Below are 18,253 nucleotides of genomic sequence, written 5' to 3' on the forward strand. Positions count from 1 at the left end.
TGTATTTATTAAATGGTGTTGGGAAAACTGGCTAGCCATATGCAGAAAAATGAAACTGGGCTCCTTCCTTGCACCTTATACAAAAATTAACTCAAGATGGATTAAAAACTTAAATGTAAGACCTAAAACCATAAAAACCCTAGAAGGAAAACCTAGGCAATTCAGGACGTAGGCATGGACAAAGACTTCATGACTAAAACATCAAAAGGAATGGCAACAAAAGCCAAAATTGACAAATGGGATCTAATTAAACTAAAGAACTTCTACACAGCAAAAGAAGTTATCATCAGAGTGAACAGGCAACCTACAGAATGGGAGAAAATTTTTGCAATCTATTCATCTGACAAAGGGCTAATATCCAGAATCTACAATGAACTCAAACAAATTTACAAGAAAAAAACAACCCCATCAAAAAGTGGGTGAAGGATATGAACAGACACTTCTCAAAAGAAGACATTTATGCAGCCAACAATCATATGAAAAAAAGCTCATCATTGCTGGTCATTAGAGAAATGCAAATCAAAACCACAATGAGATACCATCTCACACCAGTTAGAATGGCGATCATTAAAAAGTCAGGAAACGACAGATGCTGGAGAGGATGTAGAGAAATAGGAACGCTTTTACACTGTTGATGGTGGTATAAATTAGTTCAACCATTGTGGAAGACGGTGTGGCAATTTCTGAAGGATCTAGAACCAGAAATACCATTTGACCCAGCAATCCCATTACTAGGTATATACCCAAAGGATTAGAAATCATTCTACTATAAAGACACATGCACACATATGTCTATTGCAGCACTGTTCACAATAGCAAAGACTTGGAACCAACCCAAATGCCCATCAGTGATAGACTGGATAAAGAAAATGTGGCATATATACACCATGGAATACTACGCAGCCATAAAAAAGGGTGAGTTCATGTCCTTTGCAGGGACATGGATGAAGCTGGAAGCCACCATTCTCAGCAAACTAACACAAGCACAGAAAACCAAACACCACATGTTCTCACTCATAAGTGGAAGTTGAACAATGAGAACACATGGACACAGGAAGGGGAATATCACACACTGGGGCCTGTTGCGGGTGGGGAGTCTAGGGAAGGGATAGCATTAGGAGAAATACCTAATGTAGATGACAGGTTGATGGGTGCAGCAAACCACCATGGCACGTGTATACCTATGTAACAAACCTGCACGTTCTGCACATGTACCCCAGAATAAAGAAAAAAAAATACAGGCTGGGCACGGTGGCTCATGCCTGTAATCCCAGCACTTTGGGAGGCTAAGGTGGATGGATCACAAGGTCAAGAGTTCGAGACCAGCCTGGCCAATATGGTGAAACCCCGCCTCTACTAAAAATCCAAAAAAATTAGCCAGGCGTTGTGGCACATGCCTGTACTCCCAGCTACTTGGGAAGCTGAGGCAGGAGGATTGCTTGAACCTGGGAGGCGGAGGTTGCAGTGAGCCGAGATCACACCACTGCACTCCAGCCTAGGTGACAGAGTGAGACTCCGACTCACACACACACAAAAATATATATATGTATATATATATGACCTATGACCTGTAAGCCCATGTTTCCAGATGTCCTTCCTGCCTTTCCAGGTCAACTGTTACCAATGCCCTGGGTTCCTGTAATGTCCCATGTTAGAAATCAAGAGAGATCACCAGATACAGCAGCAAAGAGAAACTTTTTTATTTTTTTTATTTATTTATTTATTTATTTATTTATTTATTTATTTATTTTGAGATGGAGTCTCACTCTGTTGCCCAAGCTGGAGTTCAGTGGCGCGATCTCAGCTCACTGCAACCTCCGCCTCCTGGGTTCAAGCGATTCTCCTGCCTCACCCTCCCAAGTAGCTGGGATTACAGGCGCCTGCCACCACCCCTGGCTAGCTTTTTGTATTTCTAGTAGAGACAGGGTTTTGCCATATTGTCCAGACTGGTCTCCAGCTTCTGACCTCAGGTGATCTACTGGCCTTGGCCTCCCAAAGAAAGTTTATTTTAGCTTGTGCTCAGGAAAGAACAAAGAATGGACTGTTCCCTGAGAGGACTGTGTGGGTTAGTTTTACAGGGCCTTTGTAAAAGGCAGGGTTCCATCAGGAGATCTACAGGAGGGGTTTTTCTAACGCTTGCACAGTGGTTCAACCTGCTTCTTTATACATTGTATGTAGCATTAGCTGGGCGATCTTGGCTCACTGCAACCTCCGCCTCCTGGGTTCAAGTGATTCTCCTGCCTCAGCCTCCCAAGTAGCTGGGATTACAGGCATGCGCCACCATGCCCAGCTAATTTTGTATTTTTAATAGAGACTGGGTTTCTCTGTGTTGGTCGGGCTGGTCTCAGGCTCTTGACCTTAGGTGATCCGCCCACATCGGCCTCCCAAACTGCTGGGATTACAGGCGTGAGCCACCGAGCCCGGCCGATAACATCACTATTGTAAAACATAAGATCAGTGCTTGAAATATTTTGCAGCCCCTGCACTCAGTGGATCAGCTGGCACCACCCAGATCAATAAACGGGCTCACCGTGACCCTCATTCAGGGACTGACTTAGCTCAAGACGACAAGCTTCAACTCCCTATGATTTCATCTCTCACCTGACCAAGCAGCACTCTCTCGCTTTCTGACCCCCCACCCACCAAATTATCCCTAAAATCCCTGATCCATGAGTTTTCAAGGAGACTGATTTGAGTAAAAATAAAACTCCAGTCTCCCCCACAACTGGCTCTGTGTGAATTAAACTCTATTGCAATTCCCCTTCCTTGATAAATCAGCTCTGTCTAGACAGCAGGCAAGGGGACCCCATTGGGGCAGTTGCAGGTTCGTGTAATCTCCCAGGCTAGAAGTCAAGAGAGATCACCAGACATAGCAGTAATGACAAAGTTTATTTTAGCTTGTGCTCAAGGGAGCCAGCATGGAGAAAGCGCAAAGAATGGGCTGCTCCCCGAGAACAGTGTGTGGGTTAGTTTTAGGGTCTTTGTAAAGGAAAGGGTTACATCAGGGCACACATAGGAGGGGCTTTTCTTGTGCTTGCCGGTGGTTCAACATGCTTTTTGATATGTCATATGTAGCCTTCACATTTTAAATCTCCAACCCTGAGTATGATTTTTAGTATTAAAATAAGGAAGGAGTAATTGTAGGCTGGAGTTTAACTTTACATGTAGGGCTCTGGGGAAGTCTCCAGCTCCCCTGAAATAAGAGCTTGCAGTTAACTGCTCCTTGGGTCTTTTGTTGCTGACTGGCTGAGAGTTAGAGAAGCTAGAGCTTGAGTGGGGGCCTCCGTATGCTTTTCCTCCAGACCATCTTAAAGTAGGGAACCAACCTGCCTGCCTGTCTCAAAACCAATGTATACTTTATATGTATTGATTTACATCTTCGCCTGTAACTCCTGTCTCCCTAAAATGTATAAAACCAAACTGTAACCTGACCACCCCGGCACACTTTCTTAGGTCCTCATGAGATCTCCCTGGGCCATGGTCACTCATAATGGCTCAGAATAAACTCCATTAACACTAAGGAATGAATTCCAAGCATAAACCTTTCACCCCAGATCTGTTTCTTTCTACCACTTACTCCACCATTGTGATAGTTCTTCCTCTCCATACCCTACCACTTTGTAAAAACCCAATGGGGAAATCAGTGTTCCTTCCCAGGGCAAGGTCTAATCCAGCATCTTACATGGGTGTTAAGATCAGTCCCTAAAAAGCTGAGCTATGCTGGCTTAGCTTGGCCTTGTCCCTCTGTAGTCTGGGCAAAGCAGGATATGCCATCTCCTTAAGACCTCCATTCCCCAGGGTGCTTGGGTCCAATTTAATTGAATTGAATGTAGCCCTTACACTGACCTGCCTTGGGATTGACCAGAATTATGTGTATTTTTTTAAGCTCTTGAGTCACCAAGATTTATGTATTATTATTATTATTTTTTGAATCAAAGTCTCGCTCTGTCACCCACACTGGAGGGCAGTGGCGTGATCTCGGCTCACTGCAGCCTCTGCCTCCCAGGTTCAAGCGATTCTCCTGCCTTAGCTTCCAGAGTTGCTGGGATTACAGGCATGTGCCACCACACCCAGCTAATTTTTGTATTTATAGTACAGATGGGGTTTCACCATGTTGGCCAGGCTGGTCTTGAACTCCTGACCTCATGATCTGTCCGCCTGGGACTCCCAAAGTGCTGGGATTACAGGCGTGAGCCACAGCTCCCAGTGAGTTACCCAGCTCTCTTTTGCTTTCCTTTTTGACAGATAAGTAGGTAGAGTTTAGGAGGCTGGCCAATTCGTTATCTAGGATAAGGTAGAGGCTAGACTTCTCATGCTCTGGAATTTTCTTGGACTCAGTTTACTCCTATTGACTTGGAATGAAGAGAAAGCTTCTTACCAGGTTGAGTATGGAAAAACCCAAAAATATTTTTCCTCAGCTTTCCCATAACACAGAATACTTCTGTGCCCAGATGTATGAGGTTTCTCCACGCACCAAGCAATTCTACAGCAGGCAATAGCAGCTGAGTGTCCTGTAATTCAATTCTGACGCCATCCACCTGGAAACAGTGTCAGATCCCACAGGTCAAGGACTCAGTCCCCAAGACTCCCCCGCTGCAAAATCTGATGATAATCGGAAGCCACAGGTTGTTTCGCCCATGCTTCTGACTGACCTCCTACCAACTGGGGTTTGCACACCCCCTTGCTGGGCTCAGTTAATTTGCTAGAGTGGCTCACAGGACTCAAGGAAATACCTACATTAACAGATTCATTATAAGGAATATTACAAAGGATACAGGTGAAGACATGCACAGGGTGAGGTATGAGGAAATTGGAGGGCAGCTTCCACGCCCTCCCTGGGTACCACCCTACAGGAACCTCCATGTGTTCAGCTCTCCAGAAGTTCCTCAAACCCTTTTGGGTTTTTATGGAAGCTTCATTACATAGATACAATTAATTCACTGTTAGCCATTGGTAATCAACTTAACCTCAGCCTCTCTCTCTTCCCGGGAGGCTGGGGGTGGGGCTGAAAGTCCCAACTCTCTAATCCTGCCTTGGTCTTTCTTGTGACCAGCCCCTATACTGAAGCTACCTGCGTGCTGCCAGCCTTCAGTCAACTTATTAGCATACAAAAAGACAGCACTTCGGAGGTTCTAAGGGTTTTAGCTGTATGCCAAGAGGCCACGGAAGACCAAATATATATTTCACATGATCATGTAGGTGTTCCTTGTTTGTCTCACCAACCATCTGACAGGTTCCTCCAGGGCCTCAGATGAGTCTTTTCACTCTGTAGTCCCAGTACCTAGCACAATGCCTGACAGACAAATTGTAAGCACTCTATAAATGTTGAATGGAAACTGTAGATACCCCAGGGATTGTCTGTACATTTAGGGCTAAACCTGCTAACACGGCTGCCACAGTAACACAGGACATCTCCCTCTAGATAGCTTAGCATGGTGGCTCAGAGCACAGAGTCTACAGTAAGACTCTTGAGTTCAAATCCCAACCCTGCCATTTCATAATATACTGTGACCCTGGTCAGATTACTTGTTTTCCCTCAGTGAACTGAGGATATCTCCTAAGGTTGATGAGAGGATTACATGAGTTAATGTTTAGAAACCCGCTTAGCATAGAGGCTGGCACGAAGCTGAGAGCTATATCAAGTGTTGATAAGTAAATAGAACAGTTTTCTTAGCCTTACTGACATCTTTAATGGTATCAAACTATGGGGGATATTTAGAATAATTTACATGGTTCTATAGTACTTTAACTTGTTAGACATCTTTCCTGCTGTTATCTCTTTAAAAATTCTCATATCACTTCTACTTTGAAGGAAGATCATTAAATGAATTTATGGGAGGCCACTGCTTTGGACTGAGCTCCTGCACTAGGCCCACCAGACCAGACCAAACCAAACCAGAATGGAGTTCCTCATGCTAGGTGCCACATAATCAAACTGAACTTTGAATGGGCCAGTTTTCAAAAAACAGGAGACACAGGAACCAGTCACAAGGGGCCTAGTTTACCTGAGCCAGCATGACAAAAAGTTCCCTCTGTTTTAACTCTGTAAGGAAAGTAACTTTGAAATGACCGATCAACTCTTTGTTACCTGTCTCAGCCCCTTTTTGCCTATAAAGCTGTAAATGAAAGGTATCTGAGGCAGGTCGCAATCAATTTAGAAAGTTTATTTTGCCAAGGTTTAGGATGTGTCTGTGGCACAACCTCAGGAGGTCCTGACAACACGTGCTAAGGTGGGTGGGGCACAGCTTGGTTTTATACTTTGGGAAGACATGAGACATCAATCAATACATGTAAGATGTACATTGGTTTGGTCTAGAAAGCTGTGACAACTCAAAGTGGGGGTTTTCAGGTCACAGGGAGATTTAAAGATTTTCTGATTGGGGATTGGTTGAAAGAGTTATTAAATAGAAAGGATGTCTGGGATACAATAAGGGGTTGTGGAGACCAAGGTTTTATCAGACAGATGAAGCCTCCAGAGGACATGCTTCAGAGAGAATAGATTGTAAATGTTTCTTATCAGACTTAAAGAGTCTGTTCTATCTGTAATTCCAAAAGGGGGGAAGGTATAATGAAGCATATCTGTTTCCCTCTTCCCATCATGGCCTGGATTAGTTTTTCAGGTTAACTTGTAACGCCCTTGCCAAGAGGAGGGACCTGTTCAGATAGTGGGAGGCTCAGAATTTTATTTTTGGTTTACAAAGCCAATCTCTTCTGCTCAGCCCATCAGAGCACCTGTCTATTTTTACAGAGATGTTGTCTAATTCATGAATTGCTAATTAAGCCAATTAGATCTTTAAACTAAATTTGTTGTAATTTCGTCTTTTGACAATGTTATCGTTTCTATTTTAGGGAAGCAGAAACTGGAGTTCAGATTGGGGAAGTGGCAGCTAGCTAGAGGATCCCAGAGCTGTCACTAGCCAAACTACACAAAACACAATGGAGAAAAGGTGGATATGGGAGCTGGGGCAGGGAGGGGAGGATTCTGAGTTGAAATGAACTGTGATTGCAGTTTGTGAAAAATATTTTTTCTTTTTTTATTTTTTTATTTTTGAGATGGAGTTTCACTCTTGTCACCCAGGCTGGAGTGCAATGGTGTGATCTCCACGATCTCTGCTTACTGCAACCTCTGCCTCCTGGGTTCAAGGGATTCTCCTGCCTCAGCCTCCCGAGTAGCTGGGATTATAGGTGCCTGCCACCATGCCCAGCTAATTTTTGTGTGTGTGTGTGGTTTTTTTTTAGTAGAGATGGGGTTTCACCATGTTGGCCAGACTGGTCTCAAACTCCTGACCTCAGGTGATCCACCCGCCTCGGCCTCCCAAAATTCTGGGATTACAAGCGTGAGCCACCATGCTCGGCCTGTGAAAAATATTTCGTAGTCATAGTTTGCCTGTGAATTTCTCATGCTGAAAAACGAGGTGCTCAACAAACTCCAAAGAAAGTTCAGATGTCAACTTTGAATTTTCTGGAATTTACTTGATGCAATTTTCAATTATGCCTTTCTCCATGGAGGTTTCATAGTTGGTATCAGTGCCGCGACATGAGGGACATTTACATCAGGGCTTGAACATAAAGTAGATGGGCCTATGGCTCATAGATAAACATTCACAACAAGCTTCCATCAGTGACTTGGTCGGCGGTGGTGGGGATTTAGGAGAAATTTATGAAGAGAATTGTAGGAGAGCAGTCAGGGTGGTAGGAAAAATTATAGGAAAAGGATGCAAACCTTCTCGGAAGGCTGGGAGTTTGCATAGCTTCAGAAGAGAGTTTGGCTGAAGGCAGCTGAATTCTCTTAAGAGCTTAGGTTAGATAACAAGGGGTTGTAAAGAAACTGATCTAGATAAGTTAGTTTACTTAGGCTCAGAACCTGGCCTTTAATCATCCATGTGGGACTACTCTCTCCAGGGAGGGCAACCATGTTAATTACCCACAAGAGGGTTGACTCAAAGCCTTTGTCATTAAATCTGTACTAAATAAATGCCTGCAGCACCAACTTGTCAGGGCCATGGCTGCTGACTCCTTACAGCACCCTCCTCAGGGTCTGTGCATGGCCCAGTCCCCTAGCCTGCTCTTTCACTGGATACTGGTGTCTTGAGTGCATTCTTTCATCCATCGTTCGGCCAGCGTCTGTGGGTTGGACCTGGCAAGCATCCATAGAAATCATGTTAATATTTTAGTAGGATAACTTTAGGGACGCAAATGTACTAGAATGGTCCTGAGTCTAGCCCATCTTTCTTTTTCATGAGCTCATTGAATAAACCAAAATATTATCAGAAAGGGGTCCCAATCCAGACCCCCAAGAGCGGGTTCTTGGATCTCACGCAAGAAAGAATTCAAGGCGACTCTGTTAAGTTAAGTCAAAGCAAGTTTATTAAGAAAGTAAAGGGGCCAGGTGCAGTGGCTCATGCCTGTAATCCCAGCACTTTTGGAGGCCGAGGTGGGCGGATCACAAGGTCAGGAGATTGAGACCATCCTGGCTAACACGGTGAAACCCTGTCTGTATTAAAAATACTTTGTTCAGCCTTTGTTACAAAGCCGATTTTGTTTGTTTGTTTGTTTGTTGTTTTTGGTTGGGGGGGGACCAAACCACTTTATTGAGGGGAATGGGGTGGCAAAGCAGCAAGGATGATGAGATCTGACATCCTCGGCTGGGAGCTCCTAGGATCTGCAGGCACTGAAAGCTACCAGCAGGTTTTTTAAAGGCAAAGGGGACAAGCAGTGGGCTGATACAAAGTTGTATGACAGGAAGTCTCATTGGTTTACAGAAATAACATTAATGATTGGCTATACATTGTTAAGCTATAGTGTGTGGGTTATAGTGTCAAGTACATTATTATTAGGTTAATTTATAGCTATTATGGCAACAGCAAGAAGTTTCAGAAGATGAATATATCACTCAAGGGGGAAGTACAATGTGATTGTTGGCTCATCTTAATGTCTTTCTGGGCCACACGCAGTGGCTCACGTCTATAATCCCAGCACTTTGGGAGGCTGAGGTGGGCGGATCACCTGAGGTCAGGAGTGTGAGACCAGCCTGGCCAACATGGCAAAACCCCATCTCTACTAAAAATACAAAAATTATCCAGGCATGGTGGCATCCCTGTAATCCCAGCTACTCGGGAGGCTGAGACAGGAGAATCGCTTACATCCAGGAGGCAGAGGTTGCAGTGAGCCAAGATCACACCACTGTACTCCAGCCTGGGTGACAGAGCAAGAGTGTCTCAAAAAAAGTCTCTCTGGGTCTGATAATTTTAAAGGACTCACCTTCCTTGGATAAAAGCTATTTTCTCTTCTCATTGATAAAGACAAGATTAAAAAAATTTTTTTCAGACTACCAAATTGATTAACAAAGTGGCAGGAAGTAAATTAGAAAGAACAAATCTGTCCATTAAAAGCGGATACTTTTTATTTATTTATTTACTTACTTTTTTGTTTGAGACAGAGTCTTGCTCTGAGCTCAGGCTGGATTGCAGTCAGTTGTGCAGTCATAGCTCACTGCAGCCTTCGATTACTGGGCTCAAGGGATCCTCCCACCTCAGCCTCCCAAGTAGCTGGGACTGCAGGCAGCACTTGGCTGATTTTTAAAATTTTTTTTGTAGAGATAGGGTCTTGCTATGTTGGCCAGGCTGGTCTCAAATTCCTGGGCTCAAGCAATCCTCCTGCCTTGGGCTCCCAAAGTGCTGGGATTACAGGTGTGAGCCACTGTGCCCAACAAAAGCAGATTTTAAAATATTTACATCATTTAATTTTTGTATCAGCCTGGTTTAGGGTAAACAGATTGTAGGGACCAAGGGAAAACTTCTCCTTCACCCGCTGAAGGTTCACTGAAAAATCAACTGACAAAAGGCATATTAATAGGAGAAAAGGCATCCAAATTTATTAATATATATGGGAGTCCTACAAAATATAAGAACTCAAAGAAATGGCCAGATGGTTGACCTCTTTATGCCGTCTCAAGGTTACAGAAAGAATGGGGCCTCAGAGCATGGCTAAAAACAGGTTATGGTGGTAAATCAGTTTCTAATGGCAAGACAGGTTATGGGAGGGAGAGAAGAGGAGACCTGGTCTGCAAAGGTGGTCTTGTTATGTAGATGAAACCTTGCAGGTGGCAACCGTCACAGAGAATAGATGGGAAATGTTTCTTTCAGCTCTTTAAAGATGTCACTCTCAGTTAATCTTTTCTAGATCCAGACAAGGGAGGAACTCTAAGCCTGACTGTATCACTGCTGATTTTCCCTCAGATGCAAATCTCCCCCACCAGACACCTTTGCAGGGCTGCCCATGCTCGCAGGCCCTCTGAACAGCCCTCTCAAAATATGTCAAAGAAGGGTATTTTGGGGTGAAATATTTTGGTTTCTTTCAGGGTGATGAGTTAGACCACAGGTGATATGCACACACCAGACAACTCTGAACTGTTTCTCATTCCAAGGTCTCGAGTTCATCGCAGGGGGCAGGTAGCCATGGGGGGCGGGCAAGAAATGGGGAGGGCAGGTAGGAGCTCAGCGAGGTTTTGGTACCCGCTGCTTCTCTCTCTCACTCCCTGCTGTAACGTAACTAATTCTCGCAGACTTATAAACAGTAGAAACTCTCAACAGAAACCACTTGCAAATTTTATTTCTCAGTGCTTTCTGTTTGAACTGCATCAGCAACACTCTGGAGGCAAATGTTCAAAACAGAGACACAGCCGTATTGGCTGGAAACAGGGAACTATTTCTATATGGTGCTTTTGACTGTATTATGTTCTGATTATTTGGAAACAAAAAACCTATTTTTAGCTTTTTAGTAGAATCATCAGTTAATTTCGAAAGCCTTAAAAATGGAGAAGGACCTTGGAGAACTTAAAGGTCAAAAAATTAAATACTATTGTAAACTGAAGTATGATGACATTTATAAATTTGGAAAGGAGAGCTTTCTTTCTCCTAAAGGGTTGCTGCTTGCAGGCAGCCATTCTGACAGGCTGGAAAGCGTAGCCTTGGGCCAGAAGCTGGAAACACATATTTCAAAGGAGGGGTAAAGGGAACAGGAATTTATGTTGAGCAGGTTGGCTAAGTATACATATTCAACAGATTACAGGAGGAGCTATGAATATTCATGAAGAGGATCATGCATGTGTAGCAGGCTAACATGCATGCAGCATGTGTCCCATGTTCACTTTGGGCTGGAGACTTCACATTTCAATGCATGACAGTTAGGCCTTTTACATCGAAAGACAAAGCAGGGACACGCAGGCTCTCTGTGTGCAGCCTCTGAAGACTGGCCAGAACCGCTCTGCGTCGGCGGGCGGGGTGTTGTCTCTTATCAGGAGGGAATGCTGGTTAATTGTTATGTGGAAACTGCAAAAGGGTGGGGAAGCCTCAGGCAGTTGTTGATATCAGCACTGGAGTCTTTTGAAAGAGCTGGTTTTGGCTGGGTGCAGTGGCTCATGCCTGTAATCCTAGCACTTTGGGAGGCTGAGGCGGACAGATTGCCTGAGCTCAGGAGTTCAAGACCAGCCCGGGCAACATGGTGAAACCCCATCTCTACTAAAAATACAAAAGAAATTAGCCGGGCATGGTGGCATGTGCTTGTAGTTGCAGTTACTTGGGAAGCTGAGGCAGGAGAATTGCTTGAACCTGGGAGGTGGTGGTTGCAGTGAGCCAAAATCGAACCACTGCACTCCAGCCTGGGTGACAGAGCAAGACTCGTCTCTAAAAAAAAAGAAAAAAAAAAAAGGAAAGAGCTGGTTTCTGTTTAGCCCCTAGGGAAGAAAGCCTAAGGGGGTTAGCGAGGTGGAGGTGTGCAGCAAGGTGCGTCTGACCTCTGACCTCCCATCCCCTCACAGCCTAGAACTCAGTTTTCAAAGTTACTTGGGGAGTCCCCTTGACGAAAACAATGTGAACCCAGAAAATCTGAGACAGGTCTCAGTTAATTTAGAAAGTTTATTTTTTCAAGGTTGGGGAATGCGCCCGTGACACAGCTTCATGAAATCCTGATGACACATGCCCAGGGTAGTTGGGGCACAGCTTGGTTTTATACGATTTAGGGAGACATGAGTGAGACATCAATCAATATACGTAAGAAGTACATTGGTTTGGTCTGGAAAGGCAGGACAGCTTGAAACAAAAGCAGGAAGACTCAAGTGGGGAGGGAGGGAGCTTCCAGGTCACAGGTAGGTGATAACAAACTGTATCATTCTTTTGAGTTTCTGGTTAGCCTTTCCAAAGGCGGCAATCAGATATGCATCTAGCTCCTCGAGCAGAGGAATAACTTTGAAGAGAATGGGAGGCAGGTTTGTCCTAAGAAGTTTCCAGCTTGAATTTTCCTTAGTGATTTTGGAGGCTCAAGATATTTTCCTTTCACAATGGGATCCATTTAGTCAGCTGTGGGGGGCTTAAGATTTTATTTTTATTTTTCACTAGAAGTGAACATAGGATATGGAAATGTAATAAACTCCCATAGAAGACTGTTAGATTACAGATGTTTAACATTGTCTCATCTCTGGCATCTCCCTTGCCGCCATCTTCCAAGGCTTCAAATCTCCATCACTTCTCCAGCATGGGGTCCTCCTTCCTCCATTTTCCACCTTCATAGGCTCTTCTGCACTGGCCAGTTATATTCAGCTACTGAAAAAAAATCCCTAATCTCAAACTTTCTGGGGAGATGGATTTGAGGTTTCCTCCTGTCTTCTTGTTTGGTGGCCCTATGATTAAACCTCTTTCTCTGCTGCAACCAGTTGTCTTGGTGTACTGACTTGATGCGTGCATTGTAAATACTGCCTACCGGTACAAAGATGAGTCCTTAGCTACAGGATTTATATATATATCTGTGGTATAATAAGAAATAGATTTGGTCATTATCTTAAGCAAATTAATGCAGGAAGAGAAAAATCAAATATGGCGTGTTCTCACTGATAAGTGTGAGCTAAACATTGGGTACTCGTGGACATAAAGATGGCAAAAACACCACTGGGGGACTCCTAGCGGGAGGAGAGAGGGAGTGGGCGAGGGTTGAAAAACTAACTGTTGGGAACTATGCTCACTATCTGGGTGACAGAATCAGTCATACACCAAACCTCAGCATTATGCCATATACCCATGAGACAAACCTGCACATATGCCCCCAAATCTAAAATAAAAGTTGAAATTATATTTTTAAAAAGTATATATATATATATGTATCTGGTTTTTGTCCCTGTTCCTGGCACAGAGTTCCCTAAACCCTTGGCATTGCCTGAGTGATGGGAGTCTTTTTTTTTTTTGAGACAGAGTCTTGCTCTGTCACCCAGGCTGGAGTGCAATGGCGTGACCTCGGCTCACTGCAACCTCTGCCTCCCAGGTTCAAGCGATTCTCCTGCCTCAGCCTCCTGAGTAGCTGGGATTACAGGTGCCTGCCACAATGCCTGGCTAATTTATTTTTGTATCTTTAGTAGAGATGAGGTTTCACTGTGTTGGCCAGGCTGGTCTTGGAACTCGTGACCTCAAGTGATTCACCCGCCTCAGCCTCCCAAAGTGCTGGAATTACAGGTGTGAGCCACCACGCCAGGCCTGATGGGAGTCTTGTTATTCATAATGAATTCCTTTTGATCACACCTGTGTTTATGCTAATTAGGTGATCTAGCGTGTGGCCCCTAGATACTCAGGATGCGGCTGGTCATCAGAAAGACTAATGTTTAAAAGGTTGGAACTTTCACTCTGTCCCTGACCTTTGCCTCATGCAAGGGAAAGGGGAAGCTGGAGATTGAGCTGTATAGAAACTCCAGGCTGGTGAATACATCGGTGTTGGAAGGCTGGTGCCCGGAATGTGGCAGGGCTGCTCGTGCCCCTCCCCGACGCCTGGTCCTATGCCTCTCTTCCATCTGGCTGTTCCTTAGTTGTATTATTTAAGTTTGCACATGTAAGTAAAGTGTGTTCCTGAGTTCTGTGACTGATTCTAACATGTTATGAAACCTGAGGAGGAAGTTGTGAGGAAGGCATCCCCACAGCATTGACAAGAATGAAACACGGTTATAATTCAGCATCTATCAGGCTGCTCTCTGGCCCCTTCCTCATTGCTTAAAGTCTCGTAGCACCTGACACCGACCATTTGCATTCCCATTATTCCTATAGACAGCATCTCTGACATTAGAATCATAAGACTTTTGTTTGAGGATGCTTAAGATGTTTTTCTGAGACCCTGAATTCCAGTGAAGCAGCTGCAACCAACCGCTTTGAAGACCCCCACAGAGGAACCAAATCAGTGTGAGAATACAGCTTCTTCATCTTCCTGTCCCATGACTTCACACCGCACTATTCAGCCAATCCACCATCTCCACACTTCCGCCCACTCCAAAACCCTTAAAAGCCCAAGCCCAGGCTGGACGTGGCGACTCAGGCCTATAATCCCAGCACTTTGGGAGGCCAAGGCGGGCGGGGTGGATTACAAGGTGAGGAGATCAAGACCATCCTGGCCAACATGGTGGAAATCCTGTCTCTACTAAAAATACAAATATTAGCCAGGTGTGGTGGTGGGCGCCTGTAATCCCAGCTACTCAGGAGGCTGAGGCAGGAGAATCGCTTGAACCTGGGTGGCGGAGGTTGCAGTGAGCTGAGATCACACCACTGGACTCCAGCCTGGCGACAGAGCGAGACTCCGTCTCAAAAAAAAAAAAAAAAAGCCCGAGCCCCAAACTCCTTGGGGAGATGGATTTGAAGGTTTCCTCCTGTCTTGTTGTTTGGTGGCTCCACGATAATACCTCTTTCTCTGCGCAACCGGGTGTCTCGGTGTACTGACTTAATGCCTGCATTGGGTGATGGTGATGGACCTATTACAGTTCCAGCAGGAACCCCTGAATTATAGCCAGTGGGTCAGAAGTGCAGGCAGCCAGGCCTTGCAACCAACATCTGAAGTTGTGGGGGTCTTGTGGGAATGAACCCTTAACCTGTGAGGTCTGTGCTAACTCCAGGTAGATAGTGTTAGAATTGAATGTAGGACATCCAGCTGGTGTCTGGAGAATCAGAGAATTGATTGTTGGCATTGAGAAAACATTCCAGACACCGTGAAAGTAGGAGAGAGAGGCAGATGGAAGTTTAAAGTCCAAACGTGAGTTAAAGAGAAATAGTAAAAACTGCTGGCCAATGCTGTCTTCTCACTTGGTTCATGGGTAAGACAGAAAGGACTGTGACATAGACATCAGCAGCATTTCTTCAGGCGTGATCCTAGGAACAATGGCATGGGGATCACCTGAAGTGCTTGTTAGACCCTGACGAAGATTCTCTCCCTCGCCATTCTCTAAGCAGGCACCTCTGAACTCTCTTCTCCACCAGGCTCTGACTTCTGGACCTCTTTGTTCATCTTTGCATTGTCCGATTTTAGCCAGAAGCCTGCTAAGTCAGTTTACCTAGAACGCCCCAACCCTGATATCTGATTGGGTTCCTCACCCTCCACCAACCCCCAGGTGACGTCTGATCACTCTGGCCTGCCTTCAGCAAGAATCCTGTTAGAGTCGATTTAGCTGGAATCCGACTATATCCCTGATGTCTCCTCTGATCCTCCCGCCACCCCCGCCAACTCAACTATAAATTCCCACTTTTCCTTGTATTTGGAGTAGAGCCTAATTTCTTGCCCCAACTGACTGCAAAACCCCATCGTGGCATTCTCTACAGCTATTGCAATAGTCCCCCTGAACAATGTCTGCCTTATCCTTCTTTATCGAGTGTCATGAACAATCTTTTTCTTTAACAACATGAAGATTCTTGAGTCTGTGCATCTCTTTAACAACATGAAGAACCAGAATCCTAGAGTATGAAGACCTGGCATTGTCATTTTTAATATGATGACTATGATATATGTTAAAGTTTGAGAACTATGGCCTGTCAAAATGAAGAGTTGCTGCCATTTGTGGTGGCTCACACCTGTAATCCCAGCACTTTGGGAGGCAGGAGGATACTGTGAGCCTAGGAGTTTGAAACTAGCTTGGACAACATAGCCAGATCCTGTCTCTACAAAAAATTTAAAAAAATTGGCAGGGTGTGGTAGCACAGACCTGTGATGCCAGCTACTTGGGAGGCTAAGGTGGGAGGATAACTTGAGTTTGGGAGGTTGAGGCTACAGTGAGCTGTGATTGTGCTCCTGCATTCTAGCCTGGGCAACAGCAAGACTTTGTCTCAAAAAAAAAGTAGAGTTGTGAATAGTCTCTACACACTCAAAGTGCCTTATACTTTTTTTTTTTTTTTTTTTTTGAGATGGAGTCTCACTCTATTGCCCAGGCTGGAATGCAATGGCACAATCTTGGCTCACTGCAACCTCTGCCTCCCGGGTTCAAGTGATTCTCCTGCCTCAGCCTCCTGAGTAGCTGGGACAACAGGCACCCGCCACCATGCCCGGCTAATTTTTGTATTTTAGTAGAGGTGGGGTTTCACCATGTTGGCCAGGCTGGTCTCAAACTCCTGACCTCATGATCTGCCTGCCTCCGCCTCCCAAAGTGCTGGGATTACAGGCGTGAGCCACCGCGCCTGGCCGCCTTTTACTTTTATATACAATATTAGAGCTGAAAGGGCCTGAGTCTTCAAATGTAGACAACAGAAGTTGTAATTTGGCCAAGATCACTTTATCAGTGGCTTAACAGGCTGGAATCCAAATATCCTAGGCCACACACCCACATGCGTACTGCATTTGACTTGAATCTGTTATCTATTATTTCTTAATTGTCTATGCAATGGACCCACAGACTTTCACATGTGAACACTTACTTTTTCTTGCTCTGGATCAACTGAAATTCAGACAAATCTGAAAAGAAATGACTTAAATTGGAGTATTTATTTAATCTATGGAAAGTTCTGACATCTTACTGATAATGATGACATAATAAAGGGCACAACAAGCATGTTTTATTAAAAAGTTTCTAACGGACAGATCAGTGCCATTTCTAGTCACAGCTGCTTCTCACTGCCTGAGTCTCACCAAGGAGAGAAATTTTTTGAGTTCAAGTTTATTTCAAGTGTTAAGTGAAATTTTATTTTAGTGGATTAGAGTATTGCTTCCCGAATGCGGTTTCAACTTGCAAAATGTTAGATCCTGAGGAATGTGTGTGTGTGCATGTGTGACAAGCCTTTCCTTGGAAGTATTATCCTTTAATCTGGGATTATGTCCCTACTTATTTTGGGGTTGAGAGGGAAATGAGGAGGTGGGAGTTAAAATGTCTTTCTTGTTATGAATAATGGGTGATAGCTTTAAAAAATCTGGCAAAAATGAATGATGGATTTTTTTCAAATCCATAAAATCAAAAGTTTGTAAACACAACTAAGTTATGTCACCTTATCTTTTTTTTTGAGACAGAGTCTCGCTCTGTCGCCCAGGCTGGAGTGCAAAGGCATGGTCTTGGCTCACTGCAACCTCTACTTCCCGGATTCAAGCAATTCTCCTGCCTCAGCCTCTCCAGTAGCTGTGATTACAGGTGCCCACCACCATGCCCGGCTAATTTTTGTATTTTTAGTACAGATGTGTTTCACCATGTTGGCCAGGCTGGTCTCAAACTCTGACCTTGCTATCCGCCCGCCTCAGCCTCCCAAAGTGTTGGGATTACAGGTGTGAGCCACCACGCCCAGCCACATTATTTTATTACTGTTCCCACATAGTGAATCTCATTTTAGCATAAAGTCAATGTCCATACAGAAGAGCACACACCCAACATCCTCACCCTGAGTTCCACATCATTTCTATAATGGTCTCTTGCATGCCACTTCATTCTTCTTAGTCCCACCATTTTCATGACCAAATGTGTGCCCCTCCAATTCAACCTGTTTCTGACCACGGCCTCCATCACTGACCTGTTTCTGACCACAGCCTCCATCACTGACCTGTTTCTGACCACAGCCTCCATCACTGACCTGTTTCTGTCCACAGCCTCCATCACTGACCTGTTTCTGACCACAGCCTCCATCACTGACCTGTTTCTGACCACAGCCTCCATCACTGACCTGTTTCTGACCACAGCCTCCATCATTGACCTGTTTCTGACCACAGCCTCCATCATTGACCTGTTTCTGACCACAGCCTCCATCACTTACCTGTTTCTGACCACAGCCTCCATCATTCAGTGTTAGTGTTCCACTCCTCCCACAACAGTGGATCTTCACGTCCATCAGGGCCATCGGGCCATGGATCACACGTCTTATTCCCTATTAGTCCCTTCTTTTCATTTCTGTGTCTATCCAGCTTGGAGTCCATGGTTCATCAATTTGGAAAGTCATTTTGCAGTACTCCAAAATCTGTGGCTCCTGTCTTTTTAAAATCAATGTGG

General features: G+C 44.7%; 1 long non-coding RNA gene across 3 annotated transcripts in view, besides 2 other annotated features; it reads right to left on the bottom strand.

Moving 5' to 3' along the window:
* The window catches only part of LINC02365 (long intergenic non-protein coding RNA 2365), a 40,780-nt gene extending 22,626 nt beyond the window's left edge, over window positions 1-18,154 (bottom strand). The window contains exons 1-3 of one of the 3 annotated variants that reach the window (NR_131965.1): window positions 18,021-18,154; window positions 16,704-16,740; window positions 11,898-12,599 (exon numbers count right to left, since the gene is read on the bottom strand). This is a non-coding gene — a long non-coding RNA (long intergenic non-protein coding RNA 2365). Of the gene's footprint in view, window positions 1-11,897; window positions 12,600-16,703; window positions 16,741-18,020 lie in introns of those variants that run through there. The other 2 variants (NR_131966.1, NR_131967.1) reach the window with 2 other exon arrangements.
* Window positions 9,860-10,417: an enhancer, noted in NCBI's record as "OCT4-NANOG hESC enhancer chr4:185537732-185538289 (GRCh37/hg19 assembly coordinates)". NCBI's record gives its function as "activates a minimal SCP1, AML or CMV promoter by ChIP-STARR-seq in naive H9 embryonic stem cells {active_cell/tissue: H9 hESC(naive)}" and the evidence as "EXISTENCE:reporter gene assay evidence [ECO:0000049][PMID:30033119]".
* Window positions 11,303-11,802: an enhancer, noted in NCBI's record as "NANOG-H3K27ac hESC enhancer chr4:185539175-185539674 (GRCh37/hg19 assembly coordinates)". NCBI's record gives its function as "activates a minimal SCP1, AML or CMV promoter by ChIP-STARR-seq in primed H9 embryonic stem cells {active_cell/tissue: H9 hESC(primed)}" and the evidence as "EXISTENCE:reporter gene assay evidence [ECO:0000049][PMID:30033119]".
* Window positions 18,155-18,253: the final 99 nt, after the last annotated feature.

Source organism: Homo sapiens, chromosome 4 (genome assembly GCF_000001405.40).
Source record: "Homo sapiens chromosome 4, GRCh38.p14 Primary Assembly".
NCBI classification, from domain to species: domain Eukaryota; kingdom Metazoa; phylum Chordata; class Mammalia; order Primates; family Hominidae; genus Homo; species Homo sapiens.